Here is a 16,254-nt window from a genome sequence, read left to right as displayed (position 1 = left end):
TAACCATCAGCCGCATTCTTCGTTTGTAAGAATAAAGTCTTGGGTCCCCTTATTATCATTCTTCTTGTCCTCCTCAATTATGCCTGGGCAGAATGCCTGTGGGATATAGACTAGTGACTAAAAGTGTCCTATTCATTACCATGAATGTCAGCCTTTCAACCCAGACCAAGAAGCCCTGAAATGTGCAGGGGACAGGCATTCCTCAGCTAATAGTAGGCTGTTGTTTCAATTAACTAAAGCAGCACCTTGGCCTCCTAAGCAGTGACTGACTGGGGCAGGCTTAGGAATACTTATCTCATGGGAACAGACTTGATGCTATCAGGTCTGGCTTTATAACATCTCTGTGTAACATCTCTCACCTTTTGGTGGCCAGAGAAGTAGGTCAGAGGGGGAGGCCTGGGTAAGCCACAGAGGCAGAAGTGGGGCCGTGCCTCGCATGCACCATCACGTCATCTCCATGACACGGACATTTTCCCCGCTGGTCTGGTGCCTTCCCATCACTGGCTATAACATGAGGGCCCACCTTGTGGTTTCAGCCTATTTAGAAAGGACAGATTCATCACTGCAACTGCCTGCTTGAGTCAAAGATACTGTGTGTCTTTATCTCCCAGCTGCAAAAGCTGATAAGAATGCAGAGGTGATGTGATAATTTGTAGCTGATTATAGGAATTTTTGACCTACAAATGGAGAGAGAGAGAGAGAGAGAGAAGAGAATGATTGCTGATTGCTGCTATTGTATGTATCTTTTTATGCTTTTATGTTTTTGGATTTTGCCAGGAAAAGCGAGAAAACCCCATCATATCTCCTGAGTTTGACTTTGGAAGACACAGGGGTAAGAACTGACTCTAATATTTCCTGAATATGAAACTTCAGGGCAGTCTCTTAAATTCCATGGATCTAGAATATTTCATCTGTATAAGAAGGTTCTCAACAAGAGGCTCCCATAGGTCCCTCTCATCTTTGACATTCTAGAATTCTATAAGGTTTTGCTTTTTTATTTCCAGATTAAAATATACCAAGATCAAATCTCGTAAACTTGAAACAGAGCAGCACTTTGCAGGCATGGCAGATGCCAGCATTTTCAACCTCACACTGCCAGCTGAAGCTCACCTCTGCTTTCACTTACTGGATGTGTGACCTTGGGCTCTCTCTGTAAGACGCTTAAACCTGCTTCCTTCTCTGTAAAATGTGGGTAATAACGCTTACATCTCAGAGTTGTTGCGTTTTCTATAAAGCCAGCTAAGATGGCTGACTTAGAACATTAGCTATTATTATGACTATTCCTCAAGCTCCTGTGTACTTGGGCACTGACTCTGGAGCCAGACTTCTTAGGTTCAAATTCAAGCTCTGCCAGTTTCTATTTGTGTAACCTTGAATAAATTGCTTAACTTCTCTGCCTCAGTTTCGTTATCTGTAAAATGGGGATAATAATATCATTTACCTCATTGGGTGGTTGTGTGAATTAAATGGATGAATATGTATCATGTCCTTAAAGTGGTATTCGGCATAGAGTAAATACTATGTAAGTGTTTCATAAGTGAAATAAAATAAGTGAAATACACATATATTTGTGTGTACATATATATACATATGAAAGTGCTGGCGCAACACAGGTTCAATAAATGTTGGACATGATGATCATCGCCACAAAAATCCCTTTTTTAGGACTAGAGATGAAGCTTTAGAAGCCAGTTCCTGTGTCTGGCATGTGTTGGCAGTGGAGATGGGGAAATAGGAACCTGTCAGAGAAAAAGCACCAAGGTCATTTCAGCAGACCCAGTCACTGAGAATGCTTCTGCTTGGGGATGGAGGTAAGCAGAAGGCAGACACAGAAGAGGACTCTAGACTTCTGTCTGGGCAGCACTGTAGATGGTGGTAGCTTTATTTGAATGGAAACTCCAGGAAGCATCAGATTTGAGATGAAAGAAAATGGGTTCATGTTTGGATATGTTGAGTTTGCGGTTCCTACAAGACACTTCAAGGCAAAAGAAACCCTCTTATCCAAGCAAGACCTGCACAGAATCCTGGCCAAGGTGCTGTCCGACAACCATGTGAACCGTTTTGCTTTGTCCACAACAACTCATACTCAGTATTCAAAAACACTAAAGACAATCAATAGATGTACTTGTCCCCTGCCACCTGCCTGTGAGGCCTTTTGGAGGTCTGCAGGTCCAGCGTCTCCTAAGATCAACAGCCCTTGACAATGTTCAGCCATTTGTCCTTTACAAAGTGTTTTCATGTCTCTGATCCTATTTGAGCTTGTGAAAAGATTACCATCCCTATTTTATTTATAGGAAACTGGAGTTGGGACTAGACCCATGTCTTCTCTTTGTCCAGAACACTCTTTGCTATCACTTGATTAGCACCAACTGGTAGGAACTGTTACCTACTTAACCCACATTACGTTATTTAATCCTCCAATCAACCAAGGAGACAGATGCCATCAGCTCTGTTTTCAAATGATGTAGAGGAATTTGTATAAGATCACATGGGCATTTGACAAATTTGGGATAACTGAATCTAAATCCGTGTTATATTTTTGTACTTTTTTTGGATTTTATTATAATAATGTTTAGATGATAATACAAGTTTCTTCAAGACAGACCAGTCTTCATGGGTTCAAATCCCGGCTCTGTCTCTTAATAGCTGTGGAGCTTTGGGCAAGTTATTTAACTGTGTCTCTACTTCCATACTTATAAATTGTGATAATAATGGCATATGACACAATGCCTTATAATGAAAATTAATTAAAATTTGTAAAAAGCTTAGCAAAGACCTCAAAAGTCTGTAGGCTCTTGGTTAATATTAGGTATTGCCATGGCTATAATTATGATTACCATAGAACCCATTTTCTCCAAAAGTGGAGATCAAACTTTGGACATCAGTCAGCAATAAACCAAGCTTAGTAATTATTTTCCTTTATAATATTAGGGCCACAAATTCACCTTAGAATTTCTATCAGTCAATGCAAAGAAGAAAATATGATTACAGAATACAAAAGATAAAAGAAATATTCAGTTGAGGCTCAACTAGTCTTTAAGATGAGTTTGGAGAGGAACTTCTCTCATTGTTCATAATTCAATGAACAATGAACAATATGTTCACAAATGCCCCCATTGTCAAACCCAGCCTGGTCAACAAGTGGCAATCTTTTTAGAAGTCACTGGCCCAAAAGATTCCACAAGAAAGCAGCCATGGTGGATCATCAGCATTGTGGTGATGCTCTTTTTTGTTTTTTTCCACCAGAGTTCTGGGCCTCCCTAGCCCTCAAGAAGCCCTTTCTTTCACTTCTGCTTTTTTTTTTTTTTTTTTTTTGGTTTAGAGGTTGGGCTGTAAATAATAATAATGATGATGCCAATAACTGGATAAGGTATTGGACACTAGTTGAGTATGGTTTGAGGTCCCCAGGGCTTCTTAGAGGTCATCAGTGTATTGTCTTCATTGATCTTGAGAGATCCATGGAACATAAGAAAGAGAAGAGACTTTGCAATCAGGCAGACCCCATCAGTCCAGTTCCCCACGTGTCTCAGGACCCCAGAGGAACACTCGGTTCTCCACAGTCGCATTGTGATGTCTCAGGGCCATTAATCCTCTTTATATTCCAACTTTCAGAATCTCTAAAAATACTGGGCTCATTAGAGTGGCTTCAGATGGATAAGATGCACCTTCATTTATCTCAAAATCATAATTCTCTTAGTATTCAACTCTAGTTGGTTTTTCTTGAGAGAGGCAAAACTTCTCCTTTCTACAGCTGTCTTCACTCCTGGGTCTCTCCCAAGCTCCACCATTACCAACAGGCACAGCCCCATCACCAGCCTTCCCCATAACCCACAGACTTTTTTCCCGTGGCACCTTCCCTGTGGGTAACTGCAGTTTATATATAACTCTTTCTAATCCCTGAAAGGATTTAAACAGTTGCGGCTGAAGACACTGCTTTTTAAAAAGTCATAAAACATTAAAATAAGCCTTTCGTATCTCCACTATAGATACAATCTCTCCCATCTCTGGGCTCCTCAAGCATCTTAATTCTTTTAAATTACTCATCACATCTTGCATGGTTTCATAGTTATTCAGATTCATAGTTGTGCGGTCCCTCTAATCTAAACCATGACTTTCTTGAGGCAAAACCCATATAAAATCTGTACAAGTGATTCTTAAATATCCAGGAAATGAATAAAAAGTATTTAGAAGACATCTTGGGGGTGGGAATAGGGCAGTGAGAGAGGGACTTCTCTCTGAAGGAGTTCCTCATATAGTGGGTGAGACAGATACAGGAGCATGATTATAGTTCAGATTTACAAACATCATGATAGACTCAGTAACTGTAGGAGCATGGAGAAGTGCTCAAAAGACTTGGGCAAATGAATTCTTTATAGCAAGCATAATAATAAAAAGGACATGAGCAAGCCATGAAAGGAGGCTAACAGGAAGCACTGACAGTTAATACAATACTTGGTTAATACAGCCCCCAGGAGAAAACGGAAACAGAGTGCCTTGTAGAGCTCTGAGTGTCAAATCAAACACACCAGTTTACAGGGAATACAAACGTTTATCCTTGTCTGGTCCTGCTTTTGACAATACTTTACCTAAGAGACACTGAGTTACACAATGAAGAACATAACAGAAATAATAGTTTTAAATTGTAGAAATGACAAAATTCAAGGGCATGTTTCTGATCCCTTTGGGGCAAGTAAATACCCATGAAAAACTGAAGAAATAGAAAGCTGGTGTGGATGTGGAGAAACTGGATTATTCATGCATTGCTGGTGGGAATGTAAAATATTGCAACCAGGCTGGAAAACAGTTTGCTATTTCTTACAAAAACAAATGTGCATCTACCGTGCAACCTATCAACTGCGTCTCAAATATTTATCCCAGAAAATGAAAACATGTTTGCATAAAAGCCTGTGCACAAATGTTTATAACAACTCTCTTTGTAATAATCCAAACCTGGAAACAACCCAGGTCTCCTTCACCTGGTGAATGGGCTAAACACACTGTGGCACACACGCACCATGGAATACCACTTAGCAACACAAAGGAACCAACTGTTGATATGTGCAACACCTTGAATGGATCTCCAGGGAATTCTGCTGAGTGAAAAAAGCCAGCCCCAAAAGGTTACATGCTGTATGATTCTATTTATATCACAATCTCGATAGATACAATAGAAGTTATAGAAAATGATAGAAATGAGTAACTGATTACTGATTGTCAGAGAGGCTGGGGTGGGAAGGATGTAAAGGGCCAGATAAAAGATTCTTTGGTGGTGGAAATATTTGTATCTTGACTGTAGCAATGTCAATCCTGATTGTGATATTGCTCTATAGTTTTGTGGGATGTTATCATAGAGGGAAACTGAGTAAAGGGTACATCGGATCACAGTACTTCTCTGTAGTATGCTTTGCAACTGCACTGCAAGTTGCTCTACAAGTTTCTCAAAATAAAGTTTACTTTTTTAAAAAGGCAAGTCAGCAAAATGGTATAGCCATTTTGCAAAATAGTTAATCTGTTTCTTATAAACTTTGGCATAGACTTACTGTAAGACCCAGCAATCACACGAGTAGGTATTTGTTGAAGAGAAAAAAAACATATATCCACACAAAAACCTGTTTGCAAATATTTATAGCAACTTTATTCATGGTCCCCAGAACTTGGAACAACTCAACTGCCCATCAGCTGGTGAATGGAGAAACAAACTAGTATGCATCCACCACGATGGAATAATAAAAAGAAACTTCTGCTAAATATAATGACATGGGTGAATCTCAAGTGCATTACACTATGTGAAAGAAGCCAGACTCAAGCCACTACTCATTGTGTAATTTCATGTGAATGACATTCCAGAAAAGGCAAAAACAGATTGCTGGTTGCCAGGGGCTGTGGGTGGGGGAAAGGTATGAACCACAACGCAGCAGAAAACGTTAGGGATGATGGAGATGTTATTTTTTTTCCCCCTTCCCTTCAGCCTTTATTTCTTTTTTTTTTAAGTTCGGGGATATATGTGCAGGATGTACAGTTTTATTCCACAGGGAAACCTGTGCCATGGTGGTGTGCTGCACCTATCAATCCATCACCTAGGTATCAAGCCCTGCATGCATTAGCTGATGGCAATGTTCTGTATCTTGACTACGATGGTAGTTACAAGTTCTATGCAGTTTTTTTCAAAACTCACATAACTCTAAGCCTAAAAAGGCAGAAATTTACTGTATATAAATTATGCTTCAAGAAAGCTAACTTTAGACCAGGCTCAGTGGCTCACGCCTGTAATCCCAGCACTTTGGGAGGCCGAGGCGGGCGGATCACGAGGTCAGGAGATCGAGATCATCCTGGCTAACACGGTGAAACCCCGTCTCTACGAAAAATACAAAAAAATTAGCCGGGCGTGGTGGCGGGCGCCTGTAGTCCCAGCTATTCGGGAGGCTGAGGCAGGAGAATGGTGTGAACCCGGGAGGCGGGGCTTGCAGTGAGCCGAGATCGCGCCACTGCACTCCAGCCTGGGCGACTGAGCGAGACTCTGTCTCAAAAAAAAAAAAAAAAAAAAAAAAAGGAAGCTAACTTTAAATTAAAAAGTGGATCATTAAACTTTCTGCTGTTATTAAGCTGAGGTTCAGAAAGACGTTAGACGACTGTTATACACACTCCCTTTGCTCATGAAGTATGGACAATATGTCACACAGAAAAAGGCATGTAACACACTGTCCCACTGTCCATGTAATATACCCACCTACCTTGTGTTGGCAATATGGTCACTGAAGCACAGAGATTTTAAGAGATCTATACAAGTCCTCGGCACTAATACTAAGCAACAAAACTGGAACTCAAACCCAGATTTCTCCGGGCTGAGAAATAGTGCGTTTTTTACACCATGGCACTAAGGTGCTGCCGGTGAGGGACTGGAGTGCAGAAATTTTAAATTGTGAATTCACAGAGTAACGTTGAGCTGGTAATGGTGTGTGCATTTAGTTCCGAAGAACCCAACTTGGACTTGGAATCCTACTATGGGCCCCTTCCCTCTGCTCAGAGATCAGTGGGCCACAGGCCTATGAACTGGCCCTGAATCTGGCTATGAAAGAAGCTTCAGATCCTTCACATCCTACCATTCAAGGAAGACAACTTCCAGTTTTCTATCCAAACAGGCCTGGGGGGCCCAGCCAGTCTGCTGAGTTGATGGGCAGCCAAGATTCCATACTGAAATAACAAGGACGTAAACCAAAGTCTGCTGCAGACGAGACCTGCTGGCAGGAGGTGAACAGAGAGCTGCCTTGTCCCAAACACCACCACTCAGCTCACGGCCAGGACAAGAGGCCCCAGGAGGAGACACTGATGGAGACCCTCTGTCTATGCAACTGGGGAGTGATGAGCAATAAGACAGGCTCAAAACAGCCTGTCTGTCGGTGCTGTTTTGGCGTCCTGCAGGAATGTTATTCCCAGCATCCATTTATCCAGCAAGTCATTGATAGAGGGCCTGGAATACACAGTGGTGAAATCAGGCAGGTCCCCGGTCACATTTGGGGCCATGCTCCCTCTTCCTGGAGTGCTACCATGACTCTCTATATAAGTCCTTCAAGTCTTCAAGGAAAGCACCCTCTCTTCTGGAAACCTTTCATCTCACACTTCCTCTCTCACTTCCCCACCCCCAAACAGAATTTGTGGCTCCCACCTTTGCATCTGTCCCACAAGACTGTGACCTTCTCAGATGGCCAAGACTCAGTCTTCCTTATCTCATTACCTTTACTCCTAACTCAGTGCCTGGAATATGGTCAAATTCTAGTGTACATTTTTTTGAATAAATGAGGGAAGAAAGGGAGGCAAGAAAGAGGGATCCCTCTCAACTCCCGTGATAAGGGCCAGCGTAATCAAGGAAGATGAAGTCAACTGCTGGAAAAATTAGGTCCTGGAGGCCACCATACAATGACACTAACTATCTTAGGGAACCATAGATTCTTAGAGGTACATTGAAAATTGAGGAGTGGTCCACAGCAAATCAAAAATAATAATTTCAATAGTTTTTATTCATTAATTTAATAACTTTTTACCAACAGTCCCTTCTGCACCAGGAAAAATTATGTACATTATTCATTAATCATTCCCAAAAACAAATTTGTAGGTATAATTATATTTATCCTAGTGAGGAGGAAACTGAAGCTCATGGAAGTCAAGTAAAAGCCACTATCACACAGCTGCTGAATACAGAACCAGGATTCAAATTCAGGCCTCCATGACTCGGAAGTGTGCTGTTCAGCTGCACTGCTCCTCTCCTCCCAGCCCTTTCCTTCCTTACCATCCCCTTTCCTTCCATTTTCTGCCTCTTTTAAAGGTAATCTTGGGGCATAATACATCTAAATACAGAACAGAACAGAGTCCCCTTATTCTTGAAAGGCAAAAGGCACAGCTTCTTAATTGAAACAAGATAATCCAAACATTTGCTCCACTTCAAGTTTACAAATTCCATTTTGTTGACTTATATTTTCACAAATGGCTGTCATGTCAGTTATTTTATTTTTACAGAAGTTAAGAAAATATGAAGAGAAGAAGTTTTAGAACAAAGTAGCTTACAACATATTTGATTCCTCTCTTATTGGTGTTGTAAGGAAAGCTTAGAGGTTTCCAAGATGAAATTTTCAGGCCATGTAACACCATGCCTCCAGGGACCCTGCCCATGGGCCAGACACTTGGATACCCTGGATCGCTGACAGCCATGACCCTACGACCCTGTTTCTGTGTCTTAAATTCACCTTCCTTACCTCCAACCTTGAGATAATTTTCTAGCAGGCCCCCACCTTGCAAAATCAGAGATAGAAATAAAGGCAGAGGCCTCCCACATTCATCCAGTCACCGCACCAGCAAAGATGCTTTTAACCCAAAATGACCAGAGTCAGTTTTTTCTTCTCTTGAAGAAAGGAGTCTTAATGGATATTAAATCCAGGACCTTGGGTCATCTTTTATATAGAACAAGGGAGGCAATACCCACTCTTGCTGTGCATGTGCATGAGCATGGGGCCCCAACGTGCTCTTCTGACCTAAAGCCCCACTGCTCTCTGATCTTTGGATGTTCTGAAGGGATATGATGTGGTGAGAAGTCAACGGCTCTGGAATCAAAAGAACTGGCTTCTCATGCAGGCTTCAGTATTCCCTTGCATTTAAGACATCTGAAGTTGAGTTCCTTCATCTGCAAAATGACTATAATTCCATCTATCTTTCTACCTCATTGGTTTGCTGAGCTTCACATGTGATTACGTGCATGACAGCCTTTGAAAGCTATCTTGGAGCACCTTCGAGGGCCATTACCACGTCCCTACCTACAGATTCGCTCATAGCACTCAGTCACAATACGTAGACTTCCCTCCACTCTCCTCCAACTAATCGCCTATCTACACATCTCCTCCCTGCCTTCTCCAGGGAGGCTTCGACAATCACCCCAAGCTGTAGCTACCATAGTCTCTTCAAAAGCACCAGGCTCAAATCTAGAAGCCTTTGCTTACCATCTTCCTGTGCCAATACTGTGAATACAGTGATGGGATATACTGTGGATTCCCCCGGAAAAAGCAGACCCTGAGAGCAGGAGTCACATGCAGGTAGTTAATTTTAAAGGAACACTGTCAAGGAGATGAAGAAATGATATGGGGGTGGGAAGGCAGTCAGCAAAGGGCCTGTCCGGGCCTAGCTTCATGGCATGCAACCTGCACAATTCCACAGTGCCCGTGTGCAGAAGGCCTCCTGCTTGATTTAATGCTGTGGGGTCTCTGCTTGAAATTCTCAATGATTTCATCCTTGAACTTTAGTATATGGGCTGTAGAATAAAAGTTGTATAATTTTGGTAATTCCACATGCTAGTTAAATGCTCTCATATTTGCACTTAAAACTGGCATTGCACACTATAAAGATGGAAGATAAAACACATTGCTAATAATTTAAAGTTTTCATTTTCCTCACTTAGAACAACATTAAACAACAATTTTTTTAAATACCATGAAAAATTGAGGGAGAGGCCATGGGAAAAAGGGAAAAATTTTTATTTTAATATTCTTAATAGCACTTTTCCCTTGATTTTTTAAAAAGTGGCCCTACATTTTCACAAATTATGTAGCCAGCCCTGGAAGTGTTACTAAGCCTGGTAATACGGTGAGTGAATGATGCTTAATAAAGCAGGGAAGCTTGGGAAAAGTGATATAGAACACAGGCCTCTGAGCTATCCCACTTGAGGAATGAAGAGCTGGGGTATTTATACACCCACTTCCATCATGCCTCAGCTAAGAACTGCTGAGGGGAGATGGGGAGTTGTTAACTATACCTCAACTAGCTTGCCAATGACAGAAAGTCATCTGGACTAAGACCAAAGGATGTGGACAGGGTGTTGACAGTAATAGCGAGGAGGTGATAACCTCAGGAACTCCCAGTGCAATGTAGGGAGAACAGCAAGTAAGTCAACAGGCTGCATACCATGTGTTAGGTGTAGTTACAGAAATAAACACCAGGGCTTCGGGAGCACAGAGGGCGGGTCCCCAGCCAAGCCTGGCCACTCCACTGAAGCCCTCAGAGCGCAGGTGCCTGGTCAGAGCATGCAGAGAATGGGCTTGCCTGATGAACGGGAGAGAAAAGAAAACTCTAGGTAGGAGTCCTTATTTATTTTCTATCACTGCTGTAAAAAAAGATAGCTGATTTAGTGACTTACAACAGCACAAATGTATGATCGTCTTACTCTTTTGTCAGAGGTCTGGTACAGGTCTCACTGGGCTAACAGCAAGGTGTCTGAGGACTGCATTCCATCCTGTTTGAATGTGTTTTCTCTCTCATTCAGGTTGTTGGTAAAATTCAGTTCCCTCTGGTTCTGGGCTAAGGTCCTCATTTGATTAACGGTTGTCAGCTGAGACCCTTTCCCAGTTTCTAGAGGCCACCTGCATTCCTTGGCTTGGACCCTTTGTCTATCTTCAGAGTCAGCAGCAAAGGGGTGAGTCCCTCTCACACTTGGGATGTGTCCTGCCGCTGCTTCTATTGCTGCATCTCCCTGACCGACACCTCTTTGTATCTCTTCCATTCTTTCTTTTTCTATTGAAGTGAAATTCACATAACATAAAATTAACCACTGTAAAGTGAACAATTCAGGGACATTTACTACATCCACGATGTTGTGCAAATCACATTTTCATCACTTCTAAGTAAAACCCCTGACCCATTAAGCAATAAAACCACCATTCCCTCCTCTCCCAAGCCCGTAGCAGCCACCAATCTACTTTCTGATTCTATGGATTTACCTGTTCTACAGATTTCATATCAATGGGATTACACAATGTGTGGTCTTCTATGTCTGGTTTCTTTCACTTAGCGTATTGTTTGAGAGGTTCATCCGGGCCATGGTGCGTATCAGTACTTCAGACCTTTTTGTGGCTGAATCATTTTCCATTGCTTGTGTAGACTGCATTTCATTTATGAAATCATCTGTCAATGGACATTTGGGTTGTTCTCACCTTTTGGCTATTGTGATTAGTGCAGGTATGAACGTGTATTGGAGTATCTGTTTCTAACTCTTTGGGGTATATACCCCTCATCTATTCTTAAGGGTTTATATAATTATGTTGAGCCCATCCAGATAATCCAGGCTAATCTCCTTATTTCCACCTGCAAATATGTCATGTGACATAGATTCCAGGTATTAGGTTACAGGCATCCTTGGGAGACCATTTTTCTGACTCCCTCAAGACCAGTATGACCACAGTTTGGGAACAATGTGGTGGCTACAAGAGACTACAAATCCTTCTGTGCCAATACTATACCAGGGCTTCTTAAATTTGAGGACATAGGCAACTTGTTCAAAGAAAGGGAACATCGGCAGAGCTCAAGAATATGTCCACTAACCCCCAACCTGATGGACAGTGCACTGGAGATTAACAGTCAGGTTATCAATCATTGGCTCTGATAGGACCCAGAACACAGAGGTCAACCCAGACATCAAGGTCTTGCAGCAGGACTGTGTAACGATAACCATCCAATCGATCCAGACCATATTTTATGTAAATTTTTTAGATCACCGTCAAAAGAAAAGAAGAATTTTTTAAATTCTCATAGAATTCATAGCTAAGAATTTGGGGTCCCTGGGTATCCGTAGATCCCTGGGTGAGAAATATTTGGCTACTGCTTGAATGTCTCATTCATTTCTATATCTCCAGTGCCTAGAACACTGCTTGGTACATGGCAAGTACTCAGGAAAGACTGCTGAATAAATGGGTGGGTTATAACAGGGGAACCTGGCAGAGGCAGGTGTGTGGGATGATGCTGGCAAAGGCCTAATATGCCGTGGATGGGTTTATTTAGAGTGTGTTCTGTACCATCCCTAAGAGTCATCTGAGGGTCCTTATTGTCTCAAGACCTCACTTGGTGACTAGCATTTATTGTTTACAATACTTTCCATCTTCATTAGCAGGGACGAGTGATGCGTTAAATCTCTTTGAAGGGACTAGGGCAATGTCAGGAAAACATGGGTGGTTTTGAAGTGATGCCAGTGAAAAATTGGCCCCATGACCACCTCCCTCTAGAAACCTGACCCCTCTCTTCTTTCACCCTTTCCTTCTGGAAAGGGCTGGGAGGTGCTGTGCATAAGATGTAAAAGATACCCAGTGAATCAGAATATTAAAAACAAAATCAAACTGGCCATGAGGATTGAATGTGGAGTGGATAACACAAAGCTCAGGAGCTGTTTGGTTGTAGTATTTCATTGTTTAGGAGAGGAGGGAGGGATTTTGCTGAGTCTTTTATAGGAAACAAATCTCTTAAACCCTAATGAGGGAAGGAGTCACTGTGGTCTGCTCTCCCTGGAATTAATGCAGCAAAGGCAGGCGGTGGCCCCAGGCAGTATTCCTAAAACTTCTAAGAAGGAGAGACATTTTGTTCTTGAAATGTAAATACAATACTTTTCACTTTATTCTTTTAAACACAACTTGGCCCTGAAAGTTGATCTATTAAAAGGAAAGCTCGCCTTAGCCAAAATGTCTAAATCCCACAACTGAAAATGCATTCAACAAATAGCCATTATTTCCTATTTATATAAACATTTCTTGTTCCATGCTCTAAAAACTTTGAAAACCTTCAGAAGTTAGGCTGTGTCAATGTATTGCAAGAGGACTGTCAAGGGGAATAAAGATGTAGTGCTTTCCAAATAACACAATTTCATGAAATCCCTTTTTTAAAAGCAACTTGTATCAATACTTCAGTTCAAATGGAAACATCTCAAGGATAAATTCCTTGTAACTTGGTAGTTACAGAAATTCTTTGTAACTTGGTAGTTACAGAGAAAAAGAATGGCACTGTGTTTCCAGACTCTAAATGTTTAGACAAAGCCTAAGAATTGTGCAATTCACATTGCACTTTAACTGGGCATCATGAATCCACTACTCTAATCCAAGTTCGGCCACCTGGAGCAGGTCACAACTATTCTCTGGGCTGAGCTTCCCTCACTGGAACAGGATGAGAGTAACCAAGGGGTCTCTCTACCAGGATTCTGTGAATTCTTTGCAACATATCTAAAGAACCCAAATATATTCTATGACCCTGGAGATGTATTTAATCCCAGAAATAAACAACGCCTCTTCCCTTCCAAAATATACACTTTCTTTTGAAAAATAAATCTCTCCCAAGAACGTATGGAAGGCATTCTTTTTTATAGACCCGTCTAACATTATAGCACTAAGTGTTTCCACCTGTACCCAGCATGGACGCAGCCACTTAATCAAGATGTGATTATCTAGCTCAGAGTTTAGCCAGAGTATGTGTTTTAAAGAAATGGAGAGCTGAGCTATGTGCTTAATGGCAAAGAATTCCTGGTCTCCAGAGGACTCTCTCTCCAACATCTTTATTGGCAGTGAACGTTCAGAAGGTCATAAGCTTTCAAGGACAAATATATTATAGCCATAATTAGAAAGGATTGGCAGCACAAACATCACCCCTCATGCTCTCCTGCTCAGCAAGTCCTCGTGGGTCCTACCTCTAAAATATGTCAAGCCTGTGCCCTGAAAATCCCTCAGTTGATGCTCTTATTCAGAATCCCTTTCCTCTCTTTTTAGTTAATGATCTTGCCTCCAGGGCCCCCCTTTCTAAATCATCCTCCATGGAGCCAGAGTAATATTTATAAAACAGAAATTTGACTATATCACTTCTCTGTTTAAAAACCTCCTAAGGCCACTCCACAAGATTGAAGTTGAAACTCTCTCACTTTTAAAGAACTTTTGGAGAACTATATGATGTGGTCTCACCTGCTTTATGTTCTAGTCTATGGTTGGCAGATTTAGCAAATAAAAATACAGAACACCAGGTTTAAATCTACATTTGCATAAACTGAAAATAATGTCTTTAATGTAAGCATTTTTCATGCAATACTTGGGACATGCCAAACATATTCATCATCTATCTGAGATCCGAATCCCACTGGGCCTCCTGTATGTTATCTGGCAACAGCACTCCAGTTATACTGCTCTAATCATTCTTTCCCAAGCCATGCACTTGCCTGCCCTTGTGCAATTATTCATGACACTTTCACTACCTAAAGTGCTACTTTCTCCTTCCCAACCTGAAAATTCCTATTCATCCTTTATATCCCGGTACATCTTCTGTAAAGCTTCCCTGACAGCCAATATTCTAATTAACCACTCCCTTCTCTGTCCTTCTTTATGTATCTGCCCTTCTATACTCTCCACAGTGCTTTATAATTACTTATGAGTCACTCTCTTCCACTAGACTGAAAGATCCTTAAAGTGCAGGGACAGACTTTAGTCCATCTTTCACCTCCAACCCCCAGCTCAAGACCAGCATAGGATAGAGGCTCAATGAACTGTATTAAATGAATGAAGAGTAAACCACTAAATAATAAATAATGGGTATGACTTCAAACACATTCTCCCACTCCTCATGAAAGTGGAATTCTGTGAAGAAAATCATACAATATTTTTAATGATTTAAATCCTCTTCACCAAGAGACAGGGCAGGGGCCTCTGGGACAAGTTCCCAAACCACAAAAGTAAACATCCCCTCCCTAGAAGTGTTTCCACCCTTCATACTCAGCCCAGCAATGACTGCAATGCATTCAAGGTCCCTATTAGTGGGTAGGCTCTCCATATCCCCTGGTTCTCTGCAGTTTTTAATCTTGTCCATCTGTTTCCCAAATGTGAGTGTGGATTGCAATTGTCCTGAGTAACCAGTAATTTGTCTAGAATGCTCAGAACTGTCCTTGTCACCTGCCCCACTCACTCTCCCACAGCACTCTGCTAGCCCCTCCAAGGTGGACTTACTCCTCTTGCTTTCTGCTCTGGGCTGTTCGAGGTGGCAGGTCTACCTCTCATACCCCATGGTCAGCACCCAGCGAAGACACACTGAATACACCTGGCACATGCACAGTCTCCCCCTTGAACCCAGTGCCTCCTTATTCATGCCAGTGCCCCTCCCTGCCTGACCTCCTGGTCTCCATCCAGTCTCTCCTCCGTAAGCATTGATATTCATCCCCAGAATGGAGCTCCTTAAAGTAGTATACAATCTTAAGCATCTGCAGAACTTCTGTGGTTCATTCATACTATATTTTTGTTATATGAATGAATGAATGAATCATGCTTGTTCAAGAGCCATTCATTGAGAATCTAGTGGGAACCTGGCTACAGGCACATGATAATGATTACAACATAATTTCTAACAGCAAGGAGTTTGAAATTTAAGATAGCAACACCAATAGTTTCAATCTTTCCTGGACATATATTCAACTTCAAAGATAATTTGTTATCACACAGAAGACATCCAGTTGGTGGAAGAAAGGAAGAGTATTTTTTTAAAGAAGGATCTTCCTGACTGCTTATGCATTTACCCAAAATATGAGCATCATGTTAGAGTCTGGAATTAATCAGACCTACTGTCCCTTCCCCACCTTGATGAGTGTCCCTGTAACCCTTTGCAAGCAAGAGGAAGGGATAAAGAAAGTCAAATGGTCCAATGAAGAGTAAGAAACACAGAGAATCCCCCAAAGCAGTGGATGTGTGCTCTACTCTGTTAAGAAGGCAAGGAATGTTAGCCATACAAAACAGGTCTACAGAAATGATGAAAAGCCTTCATACAGAGTATGTGGAGAGCTGAATGTGGACATTCACGTATGCGGTATTATTCTTCTTCTTTTTTTTAATTATAGTGGCTAAATCAACCAGGACCATATTTGACTTTATTTTGTGCATTCATGTCTAGAAATTTTTAAATCTTACTAAGTAAAGGTATTGTTCCATGTAT

General features: G+C 41.6%; 1 long non-coding RNA gene across 3 annotated transcripts in view, besides 1 other annotated feature; it reads right to left on the bottom strand.

The window, feature by feature from the left end:
• MIR3681HG (MIR3681 host gene) overlaps positions 1–16,254 on the bottom strand; it is a 571,233-nt gene that overhangs the window by 503,540 nt on the left and 51,439 nt on the right. The window lies entirely within an intron of this gene.
• Positions 3,072–3,191: an enhancer, noted in NCBI's record as "active region_15337". NCBI's record gives its function as "activates an Ori minimal core promoter by ATAC-STARR-seq in GM12878 lymphoblastoid cells {active_cell/tissue: GM12878}" and the evidence as "EXISTENCE:reporter gene assay evidence [ECO:0000049][PMID:35858748]".

This window comes from Homo sapiens, chromosome 2 (assembly GCF_000001405.40).
Source record: "Homo sapiens chromosome 2, GRCh38.p14 Primary Assembly".
NCBI lineage: Eukaryota > Metazoa > Chordata > Mammalia > Primates > Hominidae > Homo > Homo sapiens.
Note: the sequence above shows the minus strand (reverse complement) of the source record. Positions and strands in the feature narration are given on the sequence as shown.